Raw genomic sequence first — 27277 nt, 5'->3', positions numbered from 1 at the left:
GAGGATGGACTGGATGGAGGGTGTGTGTGTAGAGAGGATGGGCTGGTTGGAGGGTGTGTGTGGAGAGGATGGGTTGGATGGAGGGTGTGTGTGTGGAGAGAGGATGGGCTGGATGGAGGGTGTGTGTTTGCAGAGGGGGTGAGCTGGATGGAGGGTGTGTGTGTGCAGAGAGAGGATGGGCTGGATGGAGGGTGTGTGTGTGTAGAGAGAGAACGGGCTGGATGGAGGGTGTGTGTGTGTAGAGAGGATGGGCTGGATGGAGGGTGTCTGTGTGTGGTGAGGATGGGCTGGATGGAGGGTGTCTGTGTGTGGTGAGGATGGGCTGGATGGAGGGTGTCTGTGTAGAGAGGATGGGCTGGATGGAGGGTGTATGTGTGCAGGGAGAGGAGGGGCTGGATGGAGGGTGTGTGTGTGCAGAGAGGATGGGCTGGATGGAGGGTGTGTGTGTAGAGAGGATGGGCTGGATGGAGGGTGTGTGTGCAGAGAGAGGAGGGCTGCATGGAGGGTGTGTGTGAGTAGAGAGGATGGGCTGGATGGAGGGTGTGTAGAGAGAGGATGGGCTGGATGGAGGGTGTGTGTGCAGAGAGAGGATGGGCTGGATGGAGGGTGTGTGTGTGCAAGGAGAGGATGGGCTGGATGGAGGGTGTGTAAAGAGAGAATGGGCTGGATGGAGGGTGTGTGCAGAGAGAGGATGGGCTGGATGGAGGGTGTGTGTGTGCAGGGAGAGGATGGGCTGGATGGAGGGCGTGTTTGTAGAGAGGATGGGCTGGATGGAGGGTGTGTGTGCAGAGAGAGGACGGGCTGGATGGAGGGTGTGTGTATGTAGAGAGGATGGGCTTGATGGAGGGTGTGCAGAGAGAGGAGGGCTGCATGGAGGGTGTGTGTGAGTAGAGAGGACGGGCTGGATGGAGGGTGTGTGTATGTAGAGAGGATGGGCTTGATGGAGGGTGTGCAGAGAGAGGAGGGCTGGATGGAGGGTGTGTGTGTGGAGAGAGGATGGGCTGGATGGAGGGTGTGTGTGGAGAGACGATGGGCTGGATGGAGGGTGTATGTGTGCAGAGAGGATGGGCTGGATGGAGGGTGTGTAGAGAGAGGATGGGCTGGATGGAGGGTGTGTGTGTGCAGAGAGGATGGGCTGGATGGAGGGTGTGTGTGTAGAGAGGATAGCCTGGATGGAGGGTGTGTAGAGAGAGGATGGGCTGGATGGAAGGTGTGTGTGTGTAGAGAGGATGGGCTGGATGGAGGGTGTGTGTGGAGAGAGGACGGGCTGGATGGAGGGTGTGTGTGGAGAGAGGACGGGCTGGATGGAGGGTGTATGTGTGGAGAGAGGACGGGCTGGATGGAGGGTGTGTGTGTGTAGAGAGGACAAGCTATATGGAGGGTGTGTGTGTGTAGAAAGGACATGCCGGATGGAGGTTGTGCATGGAGAGAGGATGGGCTGGATGGAGGGTGTATGTGTGGAAAGAGGATGGGCTGGATGGAGGTGTGTGTGGAGAGAGAATGGCCTGGATGGAGGGTGTATGTGTGCAGAGAGTATGGGCTGGATGGAGGGTGTGTGTGTGTGTGTGTAGAGAGGATGGGCTGGATGGAGGGTGTGTGTGTGTGTGTAGAGAGGATGGGCTGGATGGCGGGTGTGTGTGCAGGGAGAGAATGGGCTGGATGGAGGGCATGTGTATAGAGAGAGGTTGGCTGGATGGAGGGTATGTGGAGAGAGGATGGGCTGGATGGAGGGTGTGTGGAGAGAGGATGGGCTGGATGGAGGGTGTGTATGTAGAGAGAGGATGGGCTGGATGGAAGGCATGTGTATAGAGAGAGGATGGCTGGATGGAGGGTGTGTGTAGAGAGGATGGGCTGGATGGAGGGTGTGTGTAGAGAGGACGGGCTGGATGGAGGGTGTGTGTTTGGAGAGAGGATGGGCTGGATGGAGGGTGTGTGTGGAGAGAGGATGGCCTGGATGGAGGGTGTATGTGTGCAGAGGATCGGCTGGATGGAGGGTGTGTGTAGAGAGGATCGGCTGGATGGAGGGTGTGTGCAGAGAGGATCGGCTGGATGGAGGGTGTGTGTGTGTAGGGAGGATGGGCTGGATGGAGGGTGTGTGTTTGGAGAGAGGATGGGCTGGATGGAGGGTGTGTGTGTGTGGAGAGGATGGGCTGGGTGGAGGGTGTGTGTGGAGAGAGGATGGCCTGGATAGAGGGTGTATGTGTGCAGAGAAGATCGGCTGGATGGAGGGTGTGTGCAGAGAGGATCGGCTGGATGGAGGGTGTGTGTGTGTAGGGAGGATGGGCTGGATGGAGGGTGTGTGTTTGAACATCAGTTCAAGGACACAGGTCAAAGCCAGGTCACGAGTCAGCTAAGCTGGTTGAAAGCAGTCACATGGTTATAATTATTCCTCCTGTGGGATTCTCCTAATGAACAATATTACTTCTACACAATAAGATTATCATTTATGACTTTAAATGTATTTGTTAAATGGTTATACATAATTTTTTGTTTACTGATTTTGAAAAGTTCAAGAATGAAAACATTATTTGCACTTTGGATATCATCAAAGAATTGTTTAGGTTCATATTTGTTAAAGTGTTTGGAGTCTGTGGTGTTCAAATAGCCACCATTCCATTTAATTAAATTTAAGGAAGAAAAATCTTTCTTTTTGAATAATGTGTGGTTTCTGTAGCTTCACAGAACATTAAAGGACATGTTTAGACATTAACGTGTTCGGCGACAGACAAATTCAAAATTGTCTGTGATCAAGTTGAAGATGACTTGATCATTGCCTTAAAATAATAACAGGCTGCCTCTGCGTCCTGGGGTGGGTCTCACCTGCAGCATATTAAGAGAGTTTACCTGCTGCTGTGGCCACCTGCATCCAACAGCTGTCGGGACCATTCCTTTCCTGAAAACCCGGGAGGACTGTCACCACATGCGTCCAGAGTGATGGGGAGAAGTGGAGCAGAGGTTAAGGGGCTGAGGTGCCCGTGGGGACTGGTCCAGTCGTGGCTGATGGGCCCGTCTTTGAAGCAGGTCTTCTGTGTGCTGTTTTGCAGCCTAAACGGCTGTCTGGGTGCCAGGACCCTCCTGAGCAGTCCGGGTTCTCCCTGGGGCATGCAGCTTTGCCATGAGAGAAAAAGCAGGCCACATCTGATTGGTCCAGGCCCTCCCCACGCATGGACTCACAGGCTATAGCAGCATTTCCCTCTGTCTTCCACCACGCCCCTCCTGAAGTCTTCCAAGGGCCTCCTGGAGGAGCCACTGACCCAGTAAAGATGCCCTTTCCTGAGCCTGCTAGGAAAGGTGTCCTGGGAACCCGGTTAGAGTGCTGCAGGCCGGCTCAAGGGGAGGCCCTCATCTGTGCTAGAATGTTGCTGAGTTAAGCTCAACTCACCGAGCAAGCCATGCCACCAGGCTATAGATTGTAGGGTGATAGTTTGTCGAGATTGTTCTGTGATGGAATGAAAGGAAACAGAGGAAGACTCGTAGGCTGGCAGAGGACTTGGGAGAATGCACATGGGTGCAGAAGAGCTCAGGCCTGGGCCAGTGTCTGCCCAGAAAGGCTTCATGGGACCGGGGTAGCAGGGCTTATTTCGTTTAATGTGGAAAAGGAACGTTCTCTCTCCCTTTCTCGTTTTCTGCAAATGACAGTCTTTTTTGGACCTAGCCACTAAGGTTTATATTTAGTTTTAGTTTTTTTTTTTTTTCAAAACATTTTTGCTCTCTGTCTCATATCTCATTATTTTCAGTAACAGTTGAATTCATTATAAAGAAATCAACATTATTTTAATCTTCCACATAGTACTGGCATCATCTTGGCAGAAGTTGCCGTAATGTAGATGAGAGCTTTTTGGTGGTGGTCACCTGTTCATCACATGAGGCTGCGTGCCTTGGAGGCAGCACAGACGTCAGCATCAGACATACCTGGATTTGAGTTCCGGCTCTGGCACGGAGGCTGTATGGCCTTGGGGAGGTCTCTTAGGCTTAGACTCATTCCTCATAAAAGAGGGACAGCAGCACCTATCTGGAGATCGCTCTGGGGATTAAGGAGAGGTACTTGTGAGGTGCGCAGAGCCGGCTGTCTGTGAGGTACGGGGGGCTGTCCCCGCAACAGCATGGTGAGCATGGGGGAAGTATGTGGGCCTGTTGTGAGGTGCACAGAGCCGGCTGTCTGTGAGGTGTGGGGGGCTGTCCCCCCAACAGCGTGGTGAGCATGGGGGAAGTATCTGGGGCCTGTAGGGCTCACGGTCTTTTTTGTACGAGTATCTTATGAAGGGGCACTTGAAGATGATAAACCATTAACATAAATGATGGGTCAGCCACTTAATGGACTGGGTCCCAGTCTGGCCGCGCAGTCACCTGAGGACTTAGGGAAAGTTCCAGTGCTGCAGGCCTCACCTTGACCCAGAATATTTCCCAACAGGGCCCCAGATGTTAGTAGGTTCATTCCTGAGTGATGTTAGCATGGAGCCAGAATGGAAAACTCTTCAACCTTCCTCACAGAGCAGAGCATGTGTGGCAGGAGGGTTCAGTGGACATAGGCTGCCATGTGGCCCCGTGGCGAGCACGTGTGCATGGTGCCCCTGGAGTGGATGGCCCAGCGGGGCCCCTGACGGCCACAGGACCAGGACACAGACAGGCTTGGGGCTGACAGCATCCAGCTGTGCCACCTGCTGTGACATTGCCATGGTCATGCGAAGGTGACCAACTTACCTTTACATAACATTGTGTTTCTCCAAGAAAATCAGGAAAACGGCACTAAGGTTGATATTTGAGAACTTTGGTTTGCTCTTTATAAAGTGATAACAATACCATGATATAAAAAGGTAATAACTTCCACGTCTATTATACAGATTAAATGAGAGAAAGGATGGAAAGGGCCTGGGTGAGTTTCTTAGCCACACTCCCTCACGGCATCACCCCAGAGACCACTTGAATGTGTTCCCTACTCAAGACAAATGGATGCAGATTGAATTTAAAAACCAATTTTTTAGGAGGTATGCTTTATGTTTAGATAAAACTATCTTTTAAATTATGACGTTTTTATGATATAATTTTGATCTATATCATAATGTATTTAACAACTAACCATCTCTCTTAGACTCCTTTTGAAAGCAGATAGTTATGAGTTCTAAGTGTTCAGCACCCAGCATAGTCTAATATATGGATTTGGGTACACTGCAGAACTGTGCATGCAGCCCGCTACGTGGGTTGGGGTACACGGCAGAACTGTGCGTGCAGCCCGCTACGTGGATTCGGGTACACGGCAGAACCATGTACTCTTCATATAGGATGATAGCCCACTTTGTGCTGATGTGTGTCCTAATTACAACAGAATTGAATTCTTGATCTCCAGTTGTGTGTGTTGTGATGCTGGGTGTGCCTGTAGCTTCATTCTGGGTGTTCTCGCCCCACCCCCAGGCATCCCTGCTGCTGTGGGGCTAACATCCAGCCTCGCATCTGAGGCATGTTCCTCGGGGTATCCTCATCAATGCCAGCCGTGGGGGAATCTCTTAGGGACTTGGGCAGAAGCCAAATTTTAGACCCAGTTTACTTCCTAATCAGAAAACTGAGGGCTGGCCCGTGGAATGTGAAGAGTCCATCCCACTCTGGCCTCTTTCTCTCAGTCCTGGCCTGGCCTGGAGCACCACGAGATAAAATAGATTCTCTGTGTTCCTCTTGCATTGCTCGGGCCGTGATGGAAGCGCTGTCTGTGTGTGCTGACACATGCAATCTGATGGCAATTAGTGCTGGTTGATTCGCGAAAGACCCAGATGACCGACGGTCCATTTCATGGGGCCTCTCCTGTCACAGCAAGTGCGCTCAGCCCCACTGAAGTGGTCAGGCACGGCTGCCTGTGCAGTGAGGAGAATGTGGTCCCTTGCTGCCACACCCCCGCCACCTGCCCCCAGCACCCTCCTCTTTAGAGAGCCATGGCATACCCTAAATTCATGGCCAAATGAATTCTACAGATGCCCAAGTGGCAAGACCCATTACAAAGACTAAGTCTATTTTTTTAAGGAAAAATCCCTAAAGAAGTACAAGCTACAGCTGATTGCTGCCACCACTTCTTCAGGGAGAAGATTTTTCTCTTGATTATGGCTTAGGTTCCTGGGAACCTTTGACTCCCCCAGTTCCAACCCTTCCTCACCCAACCCGCTGTCACATTTTAGTGGTAAAATAACATCTTTAAAAAGGACTCTTCCTTTTGTATTCTTTTGTATTTAAAAGGTGTTATGCATGTCATAATCTTTTGTGTACTTCATATAACACGTCATAATTACGCATCCACCATCCTTCGTTGTGCATCTTATTCTGCTCCCGGCAGCATTCTAGGCCTGGGGGCTGCATCCGGGTGAGCGAGACGAGCCACTGTCTTGTGCCACGCACTGCCCTGTATGCTGGGCCTGTAGCACCCACCAGCTACACACCTTGCCCTTGTAACCTGCAGGCTTGATGGGGGACAGACAATGCTAAGTACAAAAGAAAATGTGTAATTTGTGCAATGGGATAAAGGAGAAACAAGTGGCTGGGAAGGAGATGCCAGCCAGGGCTTAGCCAGGAGCTGTGGCAGGGCCCATCAGAGGGCATTGTGTGGTTCTGTGAGCGACCGTGGCAGCTGGAACTGCGGCACTCACCCTGGAGGCCGTGACAAAGGGTGTAGTGGTCGTGATGAGAGGCGTGGATCAAGGTGGGGCCAGTATCTTGTGGCCTGAGCAAGCATGTAGCACTGATGCTGTCTGTTGAGACGGGAAGCCCCGGGAAGGATAAGGCTGGGGGCCGCTGGCGTTCAGCTTTGGACACTAAGTGTGAATTGCGTATCATGTGTCTACTCGTCTGCTGAAGCTGGTGGCTGTGGGAGCCTGCGTCGGGGAGATGAGCATGGGAAATGTGAATTGGGTGCTGTTGACACACCCTACGGGATTCAAAGCCCTGGGGCTCATTTTAGACATGGTGCACATAGGGAGACAGGATCACGGATGGCTCTGGGCATGCCTCGTTTACAAGCTGGGAGGGAGACCGAGGGAACCAGCACAGAAGCGGAAGGCCAGGAGGCTGGTGCAGAGTGGGGAGCAGGGCATGGCTCCCAGGATCCCGTGGTCCCTCAGTTCGGTTTTGGGTCTGCCATTGCCCTTCTCCCACAGAGGACGAGACTGTTCCTTCTGTCATTTTTGTAGGCATTTGAGATCCAACAACATACTCTGGGTCCCTGGGTCACACGCCCCATCCTCTGTCTGGACAGAGAGAAAACCCTGAGCTCGGCGTTCTTTGTTTTAAAACTATAATTTGGAGGATCACCCAGAGAGAAGAGAGAGACAGCGAAATGATTGAGAAGAAAGAGACAGGAAGAGCGAGCCCTGAGAGGTCCAGGAAGCAGGCGGCAAAGAGGTTTGCCAATTAATACAGAAACAAATCCTCGCTTGTCTCCCCTCTCCCCTGAAACCGGTGGGGAGATATTAATAGAGCAGTTCTGTTGCCTAGGAAGAAAGCAAATGGGCAATTAAAACTCCAGAAAGCTGAGCAGTGCGTGAGCGTCATGGATTTGAAAGCCTGCATTTTAATTGCGGGAGATACGGCCGTGCAGGCACTTGGAGGCTGTGTGCGGGGTGGGGCTCCGCTGGGGGCCTGTGGCTGCCCAGGGGGCCAGGGCTGCTGGGGCCTGTGGGCGTTGCCGAGGCCATCACCTGGCCCTCCTACCCATCCCATGCAGGAATGGCTGGTGCACCAGAATCTGGTTTCATCCCCACTCCCACTGTATCATGGCTGCTGCGTGCTGCGCGTCTGTCCTCTGTCCCAGGCCATGCGCCATCTGATGCTGCCATGTCTGACCGTGCCTGCTGAGCAGTGTTTCCTGGTCTTGATGGAAGGTTGGGCTTGTCTCGGGATCTTCACGTTTGGCAAAGTCCAGCAGCTGCCACCCTCTGATGCCCGAGGAACTGGGAAGGCTGTTGCTTAGCAACAGATTCCAGGCCGCATCTGCCCTGTAAGGGCCACAGTGACACCCTGGTTTTGTCCTCAGAAGTGCTTTTCTTCCTGGCTTGTGTTCTTACATCATTAATAACTGTCTTTTACTCTGCCACCTGTCAGAGAAGCAAAAGAACTTTCCGGACACCCCAGCAGCCCCAGCCACGTGAGACTCATGTTCAGCTGTAACGTGGTATTTCACATCACCTCCTTGTTCGCCCTGTGGTCACTTTCGAAGAACTTGGATAGTTTCAATGACAATTTCCTAAACTGCTAGAGTCCCAAAACTTGCTTTGGGTTCAGTGTTTCAATGAGGTATGAGGGTGGCCTGCGTTTTGGAAGACCTCCAGGCTAGCAGAGAGGCAGGGCTTGGAAATAGCACACCTGCTTCCAGAGCAGCATCTGAAGGGTGGCAGGACAAGCATGTGCCAAGGCCCCAGGTGGCGGCGGGAGACTGTGGCCCTGCCCCACCCGCTGCTCTCATCTGCCATGACGCCACCGCATCAGGATGCCACCCCGTCAGGATGCACCCTGCGACAACCTTACCTACAGCAGACTCGGGCCACGGGGAGGAGAGGGGAACCCTGTGAGGGGCCACGAGGAGCTCTCATGGCAATTACCCCTTAGTGCAGGCAGCCTACTCCTTACTCAGTACCCTCTGCACACGACCTTGGCCCCTCCACCGCCTGGGTACATAGGGGCTACAGCATGCCGAATGAGCTTTCTGGAGCATGGTGAATGAGCTTTCTGGAGCATGGTGAATGAGCTTTCTGGAGCATGGTGAATGAGCTTTCTAGAGCATGGTGAATGAGCTTTCTGGAGCATAGTGAATGAGCTTTCTGGAGCATAGTGAATGAGCTTTCTAGAGCGTGGTGAACGAGCTTTCTGGAGCGTGGTGAATGAGCTTTCTGGAGCGTGGTGAACGCGCTTTCCGGATTGTGGTGAACGAGCTTTCCGGAGCGTGGTGAACGAACTTTCTGGAGCCTGAATGAACTTTCTGGAGCATGGTGAACGTGCTTTCTGGAGCGTGGTGAACGCGCTTTCTAGATTGTGGTGAACGAGCTTTCTGGAGCGTGGTGAACAAACTTTCTGGAGTGTGGTGAACGAACTTTCTGGAGTGTGGTGAACGAGCTTTCTGGAGTGTGGTGAACGCGCTTTCTGGATTGTGAACGAGCTTTCCGGAGCGTGGTGAACACGCTTTCTGGATTGTGGTGAACAAGCTTTCTGGAGCGTAGTGAACGAGCTTTCTGGAGCGCAGTGAACGAGCTTTCTGGAGTGTGGTGAACGAGCTTTCTGGAGTGTGGTGAACGAGCTTTCTGGAGTGTGGTGAATGAGCTTTCTGGAGTGTGGTGAACGAGCTTTCTGGATTGTGGTGAACGAGCTTTCTGGAGCGTGGTGAACGAACTTTCTGGAGTGTGGTGGACGAGCTTTGTGGAACATGTTGAATGAGTTTTCTAGAGCGTGGTGAACGAGCTTGGTGCTGCAGCTGGGTCTAGGTGTGATGTGCTCCCCACCACCCCCTCTGCCGGCTGGTACTCTGTGTGCTCCCCACCGCCGCCTCTGCCGGCTGGCACTCTGTGTGCTCCCCACCGCCGCCTCTGCCGGCTGGCACTCTGTGTGCTCCCCACCGCCCCCTCTGCCGGCTGGCACTCTGTGTGCTCCCCACCGCCCCCTCTGCCGGCTGGCACTCTGTGTGCTCCCCACCGCCCCCTCTGCTGGCTGGCACTCTGTGTGCTCCCCACAGCCCCCTCTGCCGGCTGGCACTCTGGTGTGTTCTTGGACGGTGGCTTCAACTCTCCAAGCCTTGGTTTCCTTGTCTGTATGTGAAATTGATAGCTCCGCCTCTTGGAGCTGCTGGGAGGATGGACTCAGCACGTGGGGACGCAGGGGCTGGCTTGTTCCTCTGGGGCATTGCTGCCTGTGCTCTGCCAGCCGCTGTCTCGGGTGCTCTGCGGGGCACTCTGGACTGTGAGATCCCCTGCTCCCCTGGAGCACACTGCATATGACATATGACAAGTGCTTATGAAAACGCTTCCAGAGTCACCAAGGTAGACACAGCCCGAAGCCTGATGCCTCAGCCTTTCCCTGTCACGGACACCAAGTGTCCCTCACCTCTCGGTCTTCCCATGTGCCCAGGACATGCCTGGTAGGATGGCCCCACCCCCGGGGGTCCTTGGCACTGCTCCTTCTGGGCCCACTCCTGGGGCTTCCTGGAATCTGGCACTTGACACCTGGAGCTGAACGGAGGCCATGTCACGGCCACACGTTTACACAGGAGCAGTGTGTGTACACGTCATACACAGGCAGGCACGGTGACGGCAGTTGTCGAATCACCCTGGGTTTGTAAATGAGGCCAACCTATTTTTTTTTATTAGCATAAAAACAACCTTTTGTGCTGCTCATGGGTTCTGAGGGTGGGGAATCAGGCAGGGATAGCAGGTGTGGCTTGTGTCTGCTCCATGTGCCTGGGGGCTTGGCTGGAAAAAGCTGGAGTCCTGGGAAGGTTTGTTCACTCCCAGTGGCTGCAGCTGGCATTGGCTCTCAGCTAGGAAGATGGAGCCACAGCTGGAACACCTACAGCCGGCTGCCCCATGTCCTCAGGGCAGGGCACTGCTTCCAAAGTGAGGGTCCCGGAGACATCGGTGACTTCTGCTCCGTGCGAGGGTCCCGGCGACAGTCGGTGACTTCTGCTCCATGCGAGGGTCCCGGAGACAGTTGGTGACTTCTGCTCCGTGCGAGGGTCCCGGAGACAGTCGGTGACTTCTGCTCCGTGCGAGGGTCCCGGAGACAGTCGGTGACTTCTGCTCCGTGCGAGGGTCCCGGAGACAGTCGGTGACTTCTGCTCCGTGCGAGGGTCCCGGAGACAGTCGGTGACTTCTGCTCCGTGCGAGGGTCCCGGAGACAGTCGGTGACTTCTGCTCCGTGCGAGGGTCCCGGAGACATCGGTGACTTCTGCTCCATGTGTTAGTAACTCTTGCGCAGCATCAGAAGCTGAGGCTCCACCAGTGCCTCCTGAGCTTTGCCTCCATGTGGTCGGCAGAGCTTTCTTTGGACTCCAACACTTTAATTCTTATGGAGCACTTCTGAAAGAAAACAAGCAAACTCCTGTTTTGAAGCTAGAAGTGCTCAGTCCCCAACGCTCAGTGTTTAATTGGCCCTGAGCCTTGATAGAAGCAGAGGCCGTGGCCAGTGCTCGCTCGCTGCAGCTGGGCAGGCGGTGGGTGTTGCTGCTCCCGTCCACCACAGCTGGGACCTGGGGGGTGGGGGTGGGGGTGGGGGGGTGGGAGGGTGTTGGCTCTGTTTCCTGGCCCCCATTCTGACCCCAGCCCTGACTTTGAGGTTTGCTCCAGGGTGTGCTTGGAGCCTGCTTCTCCCCTGCCCTGTCCCAGGTTCTTCCTCTTGGGCTGGGTGTCTCCAGTTTGTGTGGAGACAGAGGCAGTGAGGGCCACAGGCTCGCTGACCTCGGGGGACTGTCCGGCCTGCCCTGAGATGGAGTGAGCAGCCATCTTTCACGAGGACATTTTCCATGGTGGTCTGACGTGTCCCTGTGTATTTAACCACTTCTCCATTGGGGGACATTGACTTTCACTATCTTGCCCTTGTACAATGCTGTATTGAAGATCCATACCTACACGTCTGTTCTTCTTTCTTGGGGAGAGTTGCTGGGTCACGTGGTTCTGACACCCGCTTTCCCTTCTCACAGTGACCTCACCACGATCTACCCCGGGGCCTCTGCACTCTGTCCTCTCGCAGCCACCTTCTCTTCCTCTGACTCTGCTGCTGGCGGGCCCCCCTTTCCCAACTGTGTGCTCCTTCCTGCCACAAGCGGAAAGGCAGGATAATGACACGGGGAAATGGATTTGGAGTTGGGCAGACTCGAGTTGGAATCCTGGCTCCATTTGAGTTACTGTATCCTGAGAAGTGAACCGTTCTCTGCCCCTGACTTTTCTCATCAACAGAATGGAAATAACATCTGCTTTGTGGAGTGACATTAGATGGGCTGAAGAATGCAAAGTGCAGGCACATAATAGAGATTGAGTACATTTGGGTTCTGTTTCCCTTTCTGCACCACTGTCCGTGGTCTGCACACTGCTCAAGACCCGGCCTCCCGCCCCATCTCCATGTGCCCAGCTTATGTGCAGCCGTGGCGCGGCCTTCTGTGCCTGTGGGTGGCCTCCGGCCCCATCTCCATGTGCCCAGCTTACGTGCAGCCGTGGCGCGGCCTTCTGTGCCTGTGGGCGGCCTCCGGCCCCATCTCCATGTGCCCAGCTTACGTGCAGCCGTGGCACGGCCTTCTGTGCCTGTGGGCGGCCTCCGGCCCCATCTCCATGTGCCCAGCTTACGTGCAGCCGTGGCGCGGCCTTCTGTGCCTGTGGGCGGCCTCCGGCCCCATCTCCATGTGCCCAGCTTACGTGCAGCCGTGGCACGGCCTTCTGTGCCTGTGGGCGGCCTCCGGCCCCATCTCCATGTGCCCACCTTACCTGCAGCCGTGCCGCGGCCTTCTGTGCCTGTGGGCTCTCCCATTTGCACGTCTGCTTCCTGGCCTGCGTCTTGGGGAGACAGCCCTGGGCCTCTGCACCGCTCCCTCGCACATCCTCAGGTGGTTGTTTTCCCTTTTCTTTTTTTCTTTCTTTCTTTTTTTTTTTTTTTTTTTTTAGATGTAGTCTCGCTTTGTCACCCAGGCTGGAGTGCAATGGCGCAATCTTGGCTCACTGCATCCTCTGCCTCTGGAATTCAAGTGATTCTCCTGCCTCAGCCTCCTCTGAGTAGCTGGGATTTACAGACAGCCGCCACCACGCCCGGCTAATTTTTGTATTTTAGTAGAGATGGGATTTCACCATGTTGGCCAGGCTGGTCTTGAACTCCTGACCTCAAATGATCCACCTGCCTTGGCCTCCCAAAGTGCTGGGATTAGATTGGAGCCTCTGTGCCCAGCAGTTTTCCCTTTTCTTTTCTTCCCCTCTTTAACTAGTGGTGCTCGCTGGTATCTGGCTCTCCTGCCCGTCTGGGCGTCCTTTGCAGCTGGGGGAAGGCATGGCGAGTTTTGGCCAGTGTGCCGGGGTGTGAACGTGGTGCATCACTTCTGGGCGTGAGCTCCTTCTCAGTCCTCTTGTGCCACTGCAGGCAATGCGGAGGCAGCAGCTTCCCCCTCAGCTTGGGTTGCAGAGTGAGGAGATAGGAGTGGCCCCGCCACCTGCTAGGAGGGGTGGTCAGGGCAGGAGGTGGGCCTGGTGGTTCGCAGCCCCTCGGGTGCCTCCATGTTTGTTGGCGCAGTGTTACTTGGCTGCTCGGACCAGTGCGCCATGCTGCTGGTGTGGGGAGGAGGCCAGCCCAGCGTGGTGGTGCTGAGAGGTGCATTTGCTGCATGGACCCTCTTAGGATGTCCCTGCCCCAGGAGAGCCTCATCACTGTGATGGCAGTGGGAGCCAAGGGTTGGGGCAGCTGGCCTTCCCCTGATTCCTCAAAGTGGCAAGGACTGGTATGTTTCATATATTCTCCAAATGAGGACTGCAAAAACAGGGAAGACTAAATTGGGTTGGGGGGCACTGAAAATGGAATAAATAAGCAAAATAAAGCAGAGTTTGCATTAAGTAAAAGGACAGATCACCCCTAGGTATTCAGGGCTATTCCGCTGCTCTGTAGCTGACAGGCATTGTCTAAAAATAGTAAGAGCACCTCCTCGAAGCTAATTCTTTCCTCCTACTCTGTGCATTTTGTTTGGGTGGTGAGAGTGGCGTAGTCATTAATAAGGCAGCAAACCAAGCCCGTTTGTCAGTGGGAAGAGCGGGGCCTCTGGACCTGCTCCTTGTTCCTGGAGCACGGAGAGCACTAATGGGCACCCGCCGGGCACAGCCCCTGCAGCGCCGAGGTTCAGCCAGCACCGCGACAGGCGCCGGCCTGGTGCAGACTCGGGAGCGCACACTTCAATGGCTGTTCCCTGGGCAACGGAGTTGCCGCCGCCAGCTGGCTCTGCCCCCAGAGCCCATCAAAGCACACACCCTGCCAGGAGCCGGCGCAGCAGCCCGTGCGGCCGTCTGTAGGCACCGATGTCAGTGCATTGGCAGTCGGGTTTCAAGGTTAAACATGAGGGAATGAACGGGATGACTAACGAGACAGAGACCGCAATCTGGGTATGTTTATGCACCAGGTGGGAGGGAGTGACGAGGGAACACAAGAAAGGAAGTGCCGGGCTCATTGAAGTCTGTGGGGCTGTGTTTTTTGTTTTTTCCACACAAAAGGCTGGAAAGACAGATTTCACCACTTGGTCTGAGGGTAAAAGCATGTTCAGTCCAGGGCAGCTGCTAGCCATGTCCGCAGAGCTGTCCATCTTCAGGCCTCTGTGCAAGCTGCACAGAGGGGCAGTGCCCCCACCTGACGGTGGCCCGGGGCTGGTGATGGTTGCCGACACCAACCCAGCAGGGAGCTGACTTGGCTCTCCTGTTGGCTGGTTTGTCCTAGAATTTTCATAAACTTACTTATTTGATCTTTGCAGGGATTCCTCCTTCACTTGACGGCTGCACCAACTGGCTCTCATCAGTGAGCTTTTTTTGTGGCATTGAATATAAAATTCTCATTTCCACGTACGCAGTGCCCCTTTTAAAGCATCCTGGCATTTGAACTTGGTATTTCCACCTAACACTCAGTTCCATTCATGTGAGCCCCTCTAGTGCTTAAAAAGGGTCTCTATCATCCCGCAGAAACTTTGGTTTTAATCTCTCATTTTGTTAAAACTATTTTTTGTTTGTTTTTTCTCTCTGATCTATAGGAATTTGAAATAAACACAGTTACATTTGAAAAGATATGGAAAATCCAAATAATTTATTTCAGAATCAAGTTTCAACATAAAATTTTAATTTGGGATGGTTGGACAGGTAAAAATAAGAATATTTGGCATATTCCACATTGTAACATAATGAATGTCAATGCTGTTTCCGCCTTGACCGTCTGAAGGGAGCTAGTTCGATCTACTGAGCCCTTCCAGGCACGCGTTCCTGTATACGTGGGTGTTGCTCATGAGCACTGTGTGATAATAGTGACTTTTTGGAGCCGCTGACTAAATTTCCAGATTTTTCCTCAGTTTTTTCATCTCACCACTCCAGTTGCTCTCTTTTATGTGCCTTTTTCCATCGTTTTGCTTTGCTTTACCTTTTCATGAAACAGATGTAAGTATTCCCAGGCGCCTAATCCCTGGATCTGTTTACCTTTCATAATGAAGACTTCTGACTTTTGAGAAGTGCTCACTAACTCGCCCTATGTTCTCAGGAAATGTGCACGCTCACTGGATTTCTGTAAACAAATCTCCAGCCTTCCTGGAGGGACACCGAGAAGGAGGGCAGGTCCCAGCCACCACAACCAGAGGGCACTTTTGGGCCAAGAAGAGAAATCTGACTTCCCTGATTTCCAAGTTGTTGAGTGGATGTTTGTGTCCACTCAACTGTGTGAGCCAGACCTCGAGTACCGAAAGACCAGGGAGTGTGGTGTGCATTCCAGCCATGAAGGCAAGGACAGGGTGCTGTGCCCAGGGAACATGGCTTTATGTGGATGGGGGTGGGTATGGTGCTTGGGTTCTCCTAGAGGACCACGTAGGAGACAGCACCCCAAGCTGGAGGCCAGGTACAGGGATGAGTCACCAGAAGGAGGGAGATCAAGGGGAGGAAGAGCGTCCAGCAGCAGCAGCTGCACAGGCGGCTCCTGGAAATGACCACAGGAGGAGGCGCGGGTGGCACTGGCTGCTTGTGCTCAGACCTCTAACCTGGGCATGCAGCTTCTCATGTCCTGAGGCTGAGAGGAGCTGCCTCTCCTTGAGTGCGCTGGAAGGCACAGCTTTCACTGTGGCACTGGCCATGTCCCTCTGGGTGCCATCACCTCTAGGAGCCATATTGTGGAAGCCATGCCAGTGGCCTCTCATGGGAGTGAAGGAAAGAGCTTCCCCTGAACAAAACAGGCCTGCTGATGTTAAAATCAGAGCGGATACTTGTAGCTGACTTAGACAAGGCAACCTCGTTTGCTCGCAGCCTTGAGCCCTTCCCATCTGCAGGCGCGGTCAGGGTTGTGAGCGAGTTGGCCAGAGCCCCTCTTCCCCTGGAGCAGGTTAGATTCAAGTTGGGGGAGACAAGCAGAGAGGCGGGGCCAGTCTTCCCAGGGCCACTCACCCGCGGCCCATCCTGTTCCTCATGCCAGGGTGTGGCTCGTGTGAAGCCTGAGATGCCGCCTCGAGGCACCTGGAGGATGGGAACGAGGCCGGGCGAGGAGTTGGGAGACCGGGTCCGAGTTCCTCTGTGTGCGTGAGGGAGCGTGGAGCCTCCTTAAGGTTTTGCCGACTTGTCTGTAGCTGTGGGTAACCACCACGGTGCTTTGCAACCTGTGAGGCTCCGGACTCAGGTTTAAAGGGGCTAAGCAGGGCGGTCAGTGTGGAAGGAAGAGTGTTTTGGAATTACTGCTGCATCTCCCCTTTTTTCTCACAGTTAAAGAATCGGAAAGGCATAAACCACAACACATCCCTTTCCTCTTCTAAGGTGATTACAAGAAAATGGTGAACCAGAATGGGCTCCATAGAAATCATACAAATACATAAAAATAGAAAGATAAATAGTAACATTTATTTTTCTTTTCTCCGTCCTTACAAAAAGCTACTTGCAAAACTGCAGCTGATAGGCTCCAGGCTGCGCTGCGGTGACTAGTAAGAGGATGAGGTCCTGTTACTTCTTTTTAGCCAGAGACGTGGATATAAGTGAGAGGTGTTTGATTCCAGTGAATCGTTTGGCATGTGATGGAACACACCTAAACTTCCTGGGTTGTGTGTAACTTCGCATCATGGTGTTGGTTCACCTCACAGCTCTGCGCGTCAGGTCAGCGGAGCAGCCTCCTGCAGTTGCACAGATGAGCAGGCCGCTGTCCCGACCCTCGTGCCTGGGCATTCACCATTCCATACCTTCTTTAAACTCGCTTCTGTTGAGTGTCTACCTTATCTCTTAGGCTGCATGATATGTGCATTCATTTCCATCTCATTTATTATTTTAAAAATCCCCAGAAGAGAAGCATTGGTATCTGTCTACATTTTGCAGCTGGGGAGACTGAGGCTTAGGGATTGTAAGTGACACCTTGCCCAGGATCCCAGCCAGCAGGCCACAAGCGGGGATTCCGACCTTGCCTGGTATGATGTCCATTTGGCCCTGCATCCCTGTATCCTACGCTACCTCGCTGGGCTCAAGGTGACAGACTATTCCGACCTCTTCCCAGTATTTACTGACAAATATGTTTTTACAGATAAATTGATTGAATATTTTTATAAGAGAGTGTTTTTGATATTCCAGTGTGGGAAAAAATATTGGAAACCTAATTACATCAGTCAGAAAATCATCAGATTTCCAAAGAATGAAGGGATGAAGATTTTTTGGAGTGAGGGGTGTTAATTAATTTCTGACATGATCGGTTGCGAGGTGTATAATGCTGATTTTTAAAAACTACCTCCTAAAGTGCTGTGTGTCACATTTGCTTTAGCAAATGCTGGCAAACCCACATTTTCCTGTTTTAGTGAGAACATGGGTGTCGAGTCACTGTCCAGAAAGTAGTTTGATGTCAAGCAGATGTCACTGTTTCCTTCTGTAGGCATAAAAAAATGGTTCGATGTACTCAGAGCACAGGTGAACTCACGTATCAACCAAGGTTTATGCTGTCTGCCAGATTGCTTCTGTTGGCTGGAGGTGAGGCTAATGGGCTGGCGGGAGGTTGGGCAGTGCCCCCCGTGACCTCCTCCCTGCACAGGGCAGCCTCTGTGGGGCTTATGGGGTTGCCAGTTATGGGGTTGCTGGGGCAGACATGGCCTTCCATCTGCTTGATCTTCCGGGCTTGCCTGAATCCTGTATGTAGTTGGGTTTTGGAGGTGGGCCGACCTCGCTGATGGTCTGGGGGCCCTGAAGCGGACTCAGCTGGAGGGGAAGGCCCCTCCCCTTAAAGAAATGGCCACAAGTGGAGCCTCCGGTAGAGCAGGCCAGGCCAGGCCAACCTCAGGGGTCGGAAGTCGTGAGGAAGGAAGAGGGTGAGCTGGGCCTGGCTGCCTCCCAGCCTGCTCCTGCCAGGGTGCTGTGGGGACTGGGGAGGACAGGGCTTGGATTAAGGAGAGATGGTGCCCTGGGCAGAGCAGCTCTGCACGGAGGGAGGGTACTCTCTCAGAGGGCTGGCTGGCCACAGGTTAAAGGCAGGTTCCCCTGGCTCCTGCAGAGAAGTGGTAGCTTGGAGGAGGTTCCTGGTTGGGCAGCATGGGGCCCATGGTCCAAGGGCAGGGCATGTGGGCAGTGGCACCAACCACAGTCTGCATGTGGTGTGGATGGCAGCAGCTGATGGGGCAGGATGCAGGGATGCAGGTGGCCTTTGCCATCCACCTGCGTCTCCCCCTCCTCTCGTTTCCATCTCAGACTCCCCTGGGCCTCTGGGGCCTGTGCCTCGTACCTGGAGTCCCCACAGACAGACTGAGTGAGCCTGGGGACGGTGGTGGGACCAGGTGAAGTTCAACCACAGGTGCAGACCCTCCTGTTATTCCCAGGGATGATTAGGAAGGGCAGTTCCCTAGTGAGGGAGGCCTGGGAGCACAGGGTGGGCTGGGGCCCTGAAATGGGAGTGCTGGTGCAGCCCTGACTGGCTTGTGCCCCCTCATTCCATGAATGGCTGGAGAACGCAGGGACGGGCCGAGGAAGTGCCGCTTGGTTAGTGCCGTCCAAGGGCTCAAGTCCACCGTGAAACACGCCTTTTCATGTAGCTCCTTTCCATGCTCACCTCAGCCTGAGAGACGCACAGATGGGGCAGCAATGTTCGCAGCAGTCAGGGCCCCTAGCCGAGGCTGCGCAACAAGTAAATGGAGGGTAGGGGCTGAGATACGGCCGACTGCAGGCAGCGCCTGGCAGGGACCCCCACTCATGCCCCGGGCTCCTTAGAGTAGCAGGTGGGCGTTACTCAGCCTAGTCAGGTGGGTCACTTAATTAATGAGAAAAGGAACCAGATGAACACCCCGGGGAGTAGTTCCCACGGCCTGGGGTTGTTCACCGGGTAAGTGAGTTCTTATTTGTAAAGCACGTAGGTGAAGGCCACACAGGCAGGGCGAAGTAAATGTTTGCAGAATGGTCTTGCCACCCATCACCTGGTAAGGTTTTGAAGCTGTTCATCTTTGACATGGGGTCAAGGCATTTCTGCAGACCTGAGTATCCCGCATGTAAATCACCCTTCTTATGTAAATTATTCCCAGAAATGTCCTCTACCGTTTCCAGTTGTAGTTTCAATGCGTTGAATGGAGAACAGAGGACACGTGTGGAGCCGTGTGAGTGGAGACAGGTGTGGGGCCGCGTGGGTGGAGACAGGTGTGGGGCCGCGTGGGTGGAGACAGGTGCGGGGCCGTGTGGGTGGAGACAGGTGTGGGGCCGCGTGGGTGGAGAGGCTCCTGGATTTCTGTGGTTTCTCCCCCAACATTGCACTTTGTTTTGCCTGCCTCTAAATGGGCAGGGTTTTTGAATAACTTGTTTTTACTGAGACTTCCTCGTACATTCACCCGAGTTTTCCTGGTACCTTCTCTTTCTCTTACGTTTTTAATTAGAGTATTGGATTACACAGTACCCGTAACTGACAAACAGGTTTGCTCCCTGGTGACTTGTCTCATGGTTTAAGGCATTACTCAAAACATAAAGTGTAAATTTAGAAATTTCAGTAAATTAATCTATCATTGTAGGTGTTTGCATTTTAACCTAATCATATGGATGCTATTATTTTTAATATTACTCATGCTTAGAGTTGTGTTCCTTATTAAAACAACCAGAACTTAGAGAAAACTGTGAACCCAGTGCACATCCACTGAAAACGCCATCCGCTGGTAAATTACATCTGTAGATCTAGAGGAAACCTTTCCAAAGCATCCTAGCATAATTCTAGGGATGCGGAAGAGCAGCCATATTTATACTTTTTCAAAACCAGTTGACATGGAGGTAGTGGACTTGAGCTGGCCACAGTATGAGACCGAGTGGCACATGGGCCACTGTGCTCCCAAACCAGCAGGAAGACACCCAGCTTTGTGTGGTGGCCCAAGGGTGCTGGGTGCAGCAGGAAAGAACATGGTGGCTGGACTCCTGACCACGTTAGAAGAGCAATCTTGCAGAAAGACTGCAGCTAAACTGGCTGTAGTTTATCTCTTACATGTTATAAGAAAAAATTATAAAAGCAATATTTTTCATGAAAGGAAATTTCAGAGCTGTGGATAAAAGTATTTATTCAGCATGGGCTCCCACATCATCCGTTCTCTGTCTGGAGATGAATATTTATGCACCAGAATAGCTAATTATGTTACCAATAAATCGTCAAAGAATAATTTTTAGAAGTTTTTTGATATAGCATTTGCAACAGCAAGGAAGTAAACAGTCCACTTTAGATTGATTTTCACCCTAAATGGTAATTTCTAAAAATCGAGTACACTTATCTTGACAATTTATCTGTGTTTCATAGCAATGCCTATGAAATTGAATGGTTTCTTCACTTTAGTGGTGTCCTTTCATTGCCTACCCTACTGTTTTGTAAATTTTTAAAATACTTATTTGCTTAAGGTTATTGGTACATTGGATGCAATAGAGTAGAAAAATACAGTCGACTTTGAGTCCAAAGCCTTGAGTTCTCTTTTTGTTCTGCCATTAGCAGTTGTGGGACCTGAGGCAAGTTACTCAGCTGTCATGGTAGCAATTTTCTCCTGTAACCTCTATAATAATCTTCTTGAGTGTATAGTCTTTGGCAGCTAGATAATTTAACTTAGTAGTGTTTGTACTGTAGGATTTCAGCACATCCTCAATTTTGCCTTTTCACATTTAGCCATTGTTTGCTGCCTCTCACAAGGATGTATTATTGTGAAGATGCAACTTTTTCCTAATCTTTTATTCTCTCTTGGTGGTTTTTAGAAATTCTGATGTTGATATGGAGTCTCTTTTCCATAAAAGGGGGATGTCAGTTAAAAAAGGAATATGATTGTTTAATAGTAATTCTTTGAAATATATTGAGATTTTTAATGGTATATCGTATGGATTAATTTTTATGTTGCATTTACACTTGAGAAAAAAATTATGTTGTGTTTGAATCTTTTATAACCTTGCTATTTTAATTTTTTTCTAACTGGTTCTATCAGTTATTGAAAGATTTAAAGTCTCCCACTATGATATTGGATTCCTCTATTTTTATTTGTTCTGTCAATTTTTGCTTTATGTGTTTTGGTGTAATTTTATTGAGGGCATATAAGTTTAGAATTTTTTGTGTTTCTGAACCTTTGTATTGTTCAGTGGTGACCCTTACTGCTTTTGCTCAGATCTATTTTGGCAAATATTAATATGGCTAAATCAGCTTTTCTTTTGTTGCTTGGTGTGGTGTTTTCTGTTCTTTGCCTTCCTGTGTCATTACGTTTTAGGGATATGTCTTGTAAACAATGTTTTGCTGATTTTTAAAAAATTCAGTCTAACAATATCCAGCTGATGTCCCTTATAGTTATTGTGAATACTGATCTATTTGTAATAATTCCTGTCATCTTATTTTATACTTTTTTTTTGGTACAACTTTCTTTCATCTTACTTTATGCTGTTTTGGGGGGTTTTGGTCCTTTCTTGTTCTCATAAATGATTTTGAATCTTGTTTTTGCTCCATTTCTCTTACTGTATTATTTTAGAAGTTATATGCTCTTTTTCTACTGATAACATGTTGTTATTCATATTTAACATGAAATCTGAAATTAAATATTCAGTATTTCTCTATTCCAACAATATGAAAAGCTTTTAAATCTATTTTCATCTCCCTTCTATCTTAGATACTTTGTTGGCCAGTATTTTAATTTTACCTTTGGGTATTTTTATTAACCTCAAAAGTAAATATTGTTATTATCATTAGTGTCACACATATTTAGATGTTTTCTAGATTTTTGCCATTTATTTCGCTTAATTTTTTTTTTTTAACTTCGAATTTGAGACCTTTCTTCTGGGATCACTTTCTTTATTTTCCAAATATGTCCTTAGAAGTTCCCTTAGTGAGGCTTTTGGAGGTAAATTCTCATGGTTTTAAAAATATTTTATTTATACCCCAAGTAGGGTCTCATGGCTTGATTTACCTTAACATGCCTTTATTTTTGAGTATTTAGCTGACTGAACAGTTCTGCCCTGACTTTTTTTCTAGCATTTTGTTGTGTGCTGTCTCTGGATTCCTTTGGTGCTCTTGGGAAGTCAGCTGCCCAACTGTTCATAGCACTGGCAACCTGTAAGTTTCTGTCTTTGTCTTTGGTGTTCTGCATTTGTGCTACAGTGTGTCCAGGAGTGGATATATTTTTAATTATGGTACTTGGAGATAGTTGTGCTCCTGAGTCTGATAATTTGTTTATTGATATTGTGCCTGCTGTTTTCTGTTTTTCCTGTGCACCCCACTTAAGGGTACAGTGGACCCTCTCAGTCTATCTCCCACATTCCCACGCTGCAGTCTCTGCTGTGTCCTAGGTTCTTTCTTCACATCTTTATTCCAAATGATTAATTCTCACCAGTTATTTCTAATCTGCTGTTAAATTGCCAACAGAGACTTCTATTTCAACAGTCATGATTTTTACTTCTAGATGCTTTATTATTTTTTTTAAGAAGATTCCTGGTAAATTGTGATAGTCTTTTGTTGCCTGCTCATAATCCAGCTTTTATTTCTTCGAACATTGCGATTATAGTATCTGAAGTCATTGGAATGCTCTGTTCTCTTGGCCTGCCCTCATTCAGGCCACTGTCTTCATGGGTTTGTCGTGGGTCACAGGCTCCTATCAGGCTGCCCTAAGTCGGTGGGGCCTCCAAGGGGCTGGCCTGTGGGTGCATTCCTCCAGAGACGATTCTCATTTGTTTATGGAAAATGTCCAGGGCGGCCCAAAACCCAGGACTTCTTTAAGTTAGATTCTTGGCTTAGGATTTCCTGGACCACACCAGTAAATTCAAAGTCAAACTTTTGTAAGGATCAGTGCAGTTTTCAGGTTCTCAGTGTAGATTCTTATTTTTTATAAGAGCCATAGCTGAGATAAACAAGTGGGTTTTTTTTTGCGTGTGTGTGACATTTTTCTATGCATGCCAGCTGGAGAATAATGTTTTCTAGCTCATTCGTGTAATGAGGTTGTGGGTTTTAAGGAGCCTGTGTTTTTGCAGAGGTCCTAGTATCTCCTCTTTACCTTTTGTGGGCCAAAAGCTTACTTTCCCGTTCTATCTGTGGCCTTTAGGTTCCTAGCAGAGGCCAAGCATGAAGGGTAGCTAACCGTGGTTTATCATTTTGTTTTCAACAACAGCTTTACTATTTGCTCCCAGTCGTATTCTTCACTTCCCTGAAAGCACAGCTATGCCTTCAAAAATATATCTAAGTATTTTAGAGAGGCATGATTTTGTTTTTTCAGAATTAGCTGTATTGCTAGAATCCAAAGTCCTAGAATCTATTGATACATGAAAGAGAATGTGAATAAAGATACTGTAAAGTAAAATAATCTCAAACCTTTACTTCCATCCCTGGGCTTCACATAACAATATCAAACCGCCTAGTAGCTGTTTTCGCGTAGATAGCTCTTGACATCTCAAAAGCAGCACAGTCTAAACTGTGTTCTCTGAATTACTCATGTCAGTGGGTGATGTCGCCATTGGTGTAGATTCTAGGAGAGTTTGTCAGTCAGGGTCAAGAAACCACTCTAGATACAGACGCACCTCATCGTATTGCACTGGGCTTTATTGTGCTTCTCAGATGTTGTATCTTTTGCAAATTGAAGGTTTGCGGCAACCCTGTGTCCATCAAATCTATTGGCCCATTTTTTCAATTACATGTGCCAGCTTTAACAGCACGTCCCACTCTGTGGCACATTTTGATAATCTCACAATATTTCAAATTTTTTCATCATTATTATATCTGTTATGGTGCTCTGTGGTCAGTGTTCTTTGATGTTCCTATTGTAATTGTTTTGGGGCTCCACGAACCATGCCCATGTAAGATGGCAAAGTGAATCTGTAAATGTGTGTTTTGAATGCTCCATCAACCGGCAGTTTCCTCATCTCTCTCTTTCCTCAGGCCTCTCTGTTCCCTGAGAACAACGTTATTGAAGTCAGGCCAATTAATAACCCTATAATGGCCTCTGAGTGTTCAATGAAAGGAATATCTCTCACTTTAAATCAAAAGCTAGAAATGATTAAGCTTAGTGAGGAAGGCAAGTTTCAGCCAAAAGCTGAAGTAGACCAAGAGCCGGGCCTTGCACACCAGTTGGCCAAGTTGTGAATGCAAAGGGAAAGTTCTTGAAGGAAATTAAAAGTGCTACTCCAGTGAACACACAAATGATAAGAAAGCCAAACAGCCTTCTTGCTGATAATGGAGAAAATTTTAGTGGTCTGGATAGATGATCCAAATCATGCACAACATTCTTTTAAGCCAAAGCCTAATCCGGAGCAAGACCCTCACTCTTTATTCCATGAAGGCTGAGAGGAGTGAGAAAGCTGCAGAAGAAAAGTTGGGAGCTAGCAGAGGTTGGTTCACGAGGTTGGAGGAAAGAGGTCATCTCCATAGCGTAAGAGTACAAGGTGAAGCAGCAAGTGCTGATGGAGAAGCTGCAGCAAGTTCTCCAGATCTGCCTAAGATCATTGATGAAGGGGGAACACTTCAGAACACTAAACAACAGATATTCAGTGTCAATGAAATACCCTTATATTTGAAGAGTATAAGTCATCTAGGACTTTCATAGCAAAAGAGGAGAAGTCAAAGCTTGGCTTCAAAGCTTTAATGGACAGGCTGACTCTCTCATTAGGGGCTAATGGAGTTGTTGACTTTTAAGTTGAAGCCAATGCTCATTTACCATTCTGAAAAACCTAGGCCTCTTAAGAATGATGCTAAATGTACCCTGCCTAGTCTCTGTAAATGGAACAATAAAGCCTGGATGACAGCACATCTGTTCATAGCATGGTTTAGTGAATGTTTTAAGCCCCCTGTTGAGACCTACTGCTCAGAGACAGACTCTTTTGAAAATTACTCCCCATTGGCAATGCACCTAGTCACCCAAGAGCTCTGAAGGGGAGGTACCAAAGAAACAAATGTTGTTTTCATGCCTGCTAGCACAAGATTCATTTTGCAGCCTATGGATCAAGGAGTAATTTCAACTTTCAAGTCTTATTATTTAAGAAATACATGTCTTAAGGCTGTCGTTGCCACTGATAGTGATTCCTCTGATGGGTCTTGGCATAGTAAATTGAAAACCTAGAAAGGATTCACCATTCTAGATGCCATTAAGAACATTTGCGATTTATAGGAGGTGGTCAGAATATTGACATTAATAGGAAGTTAATGGGGGAAGTTGACTCTAACCCTTGTGGATGACTTTGAGGGGTTCAAGACTTGCATGGAGAAAGTAACTGCAGTTGTGGTAGAAATAGCAAGAGAACTTGAATTAGAAGTGGAGCCTGAAGATGGGACTGAATTGCTACAATCTCATGATCAATCTCGAATGGATGAGAAATTGCTTCTTAAGGATGAGCAAAGCAAGTGGTTTCTTGAGATGGAATCTACTCCTGGTGAAGATGCTGTGAACACTGTTGAAATAATAACATAGGATTTAGAATATTCCATAAGCCCAGTTGATAAAGCAGTGTTAGGGTTTTAAAGGACTGACTCCAATTTTGAAAGAAGTTCTACTGTGCATAAAGTGCTGTCAAATAGCATCACATGCTAGAGAAATCTTTCATGAAAAGAAGAGTCAATAGATGCAGAAACTTCATTGTTATCTAAGAAACTGCCATTGCCACTCCATCCTTCAGTAGCCACCACCCTGAGCAGTTAGCTGCCATCAGTTTTGCCATTAAGGCAAAACCCTCCACCAGCAAAAAGATGACAACTCCCTGAAGGCTCAGGTGATTGTTAGTATTCTTTAGCAATAAAGTATTTTAAAATCAAGATATTCCCAGTAGTTTTTTAGACATAATGTTATTGGACACTTACTTGACTGCATTATAGTGTCAGCATAACTTTTACATGCACTAGGAAACCAAAAAATTAATATGACTCTCTTTTTGCAATATTAATGTTATTGTGGTGGTCTAGAACCAAGCCTGCAATAAGTGTGCCTGTGTTTCAGAAAGAGGGGATTTCATCCAGGGAGGAAACACAGATCTTAGTTACCATGGGAAGCAGCTACCACCGCCGCATGGAGACGCAAAAGGAAAAGGTAATGAACCTGGAGCTTGGAGGAGGTACCCCGCAGAGCACACACTGGCACACGCTGACACACCCCAGGCCCTCTGCGGGAGTGTTGGCATCCATGGAGCAGGTCTTCTGAGAGACTCTTTGGAACTGAGACCCTGCAGCGAGCACCCGTGTGGGCACAGATGGGCTTGCACTCTGCTCAGCCTGAGCCCTGACATCCCCTCCTTGTTTCACCCCTGCTTTGTGCTTTCCAAGTCCTGGTTATATGGGCAAAATGGAGGCTACTGCCTCTAAATCAATAAAGATCCATATCTCTGCCCATCTGCCCATCTGGACAATGTGGACAGCCAAGTGTCCTGCTCAGAGTTTTGCCTCCTGGTATGATTTCTCCTTACCAGTTGTTGTCAGAGACATTTCTTCATGGAGCACCTACCGTGGCTGCAGCTCATGAGGCAGTGCTGTGTGCAAGCCAAGGGCTGGTGCTCCCAAGCTGAGGGATGGTGCTCCTCTTCATTCGCGTGCTGGGGAGCTTCCCAGGAGAACAGAGGCAATGCAGCTGCGCCAAGGGCAGAGGGATCTGCTGCCTCTAGTTGTGCCATCTGCCTGTGCCTCAGGACCTGCTTGAACACAATTTTGTTTGGACGAAGCGAGATTTCCACGCAATGACTGAGTGCGATGATTGAGTGTGATGATTGAGTGCGATGATTGAGTGTGATGATTGAGTGCGATGATTGCGATGATTGAGTGTGATGATTGAGTGTGATGATTGAGTGTGATGATTGAGTGCGATGATTGTGATGATTGAGTGCGATTGAGTGCGATGATTGAGTGCGATGACTGAGTGCGATGACTGAGTGCGATGACTGAGTGCGATGACTGAGTGCGATGATTGAGTGTGATGATGATTGAGTGCGATGATTGAGTGCGATGACTGAGTGCGATGACTGAGTGTGGTGATGATTGAGTGTGGTGATGATTGAGTGTGATGATTGAGTGCGATGATTGAGTGCGATGACTGAGTGCGATGACTGAGTGCGATGATTGAGTGCGATGACTGAGTGCGATGACTGAGTGTGATGATGATTGAGTGCGATGACTGAGTGCGATGACTGAGTGCCATGACTGAGTGCCATGA

The 27277-nt window shown here is 49.8% G+C and overlaps 1 protein-coding gene across 6 annotated transcripts in view, besides 3 other annotated features; it reads left to right on the top strand.

Moving 5' to 3' along the window:
- The window catches only part of EIPR1 (EARP complex and GARP complex interacting protein 1), a 188849-nt gene that overhangs the window by 81265 nt on the left and 80307 nt on the right, over positions 1 to 27277 (top strand). For 2 of the 6 annotated variants that reach the window (NM_001330530.3, XM_011510383.4), the window contains exon 4: positions 22135 to 22215. The exons of 3 other annotated variants lie outside the window; for them this stretch is intronic. In NM_001330530.3, the coding sequence (NP_001317459.1) occupies positions 22135 to 22215 (81 nt within the window). Of the gene's footprint in view, positions 1 to 13987; positions 14085 to 22134; positions 22216 to 27277 lie in introns of those variants that run through there. One more of the 6 variants, XM_006711893.3, reaches the window with a different exon arrangement.
- Positions 9659 to 10236: an enhancer, noted in NCBI's record as "H3K4me1 hESC enhancer chr2:3290089-3290666 (GRCh37/hg19 assembly coordinates)". NCBI's record gives its function as "activates a minimal SCP1, AML or CMV promoter by ChIP-STARR-seq in naive H9 embryonic stem cells {active_cell/tissue: H9 hESC(naive)}" and the evidence as "EXISTENCE:reporter gene assay evidence [ECO:0000049][PMID:30033119]".
- Positions 10237 to 10815: an enhancer, noted in NCBI's record as "H3K4me1 hESC enhancer chr2:3289510-3290088 (GRCh37/hg19 assembly coordinates)". NCBI's record gives its function as "activates a minimal SCP1, AML or CMV promoter by ChIP-STARR-seq in naive H9 embryonic stem cells {active_cell/tissue: H9 hESC(naive)}" and the evidence as "EXISTENCE:reporter gene assay evidence [ECO:0000049][PMID:30033119]".
- Positions 15574 to 16074: an enhancer, noted in NCBI's record as "H3K4me1 hESC enhancer chr2:3284251-3284751 (GRCh37/hg19 assembly coordinates)". NCBI's record gives its function as "activates a minimal SCP1, AML or CMV promoter by ChIP-STARR-seq in primed H9 embryonic stem cells {active_cell/tissue: H9 hESC(primed)}" and the evidence as "EXISTENCE:reporter gene assay evidence [ECO:0000049][PMID:30033119]".

Source organism: Homo sapiens, chromosome 2, assembly GCF_000001405.40.
Source record: "Homo sapiens chromosome 2, GRCh38.p14 Primary Assembly".
Lineage (NCBI taxonomy): Eukaryota > Metazoa > Chordata > Mammalia > Primates > Hominidae > Homo > Homo sapiens.
The sequence above is the reverse complement of the archived record's forward strand: the minus strand, read 5'-3'. Positions and strand labels throughout refer to the sequence as shown.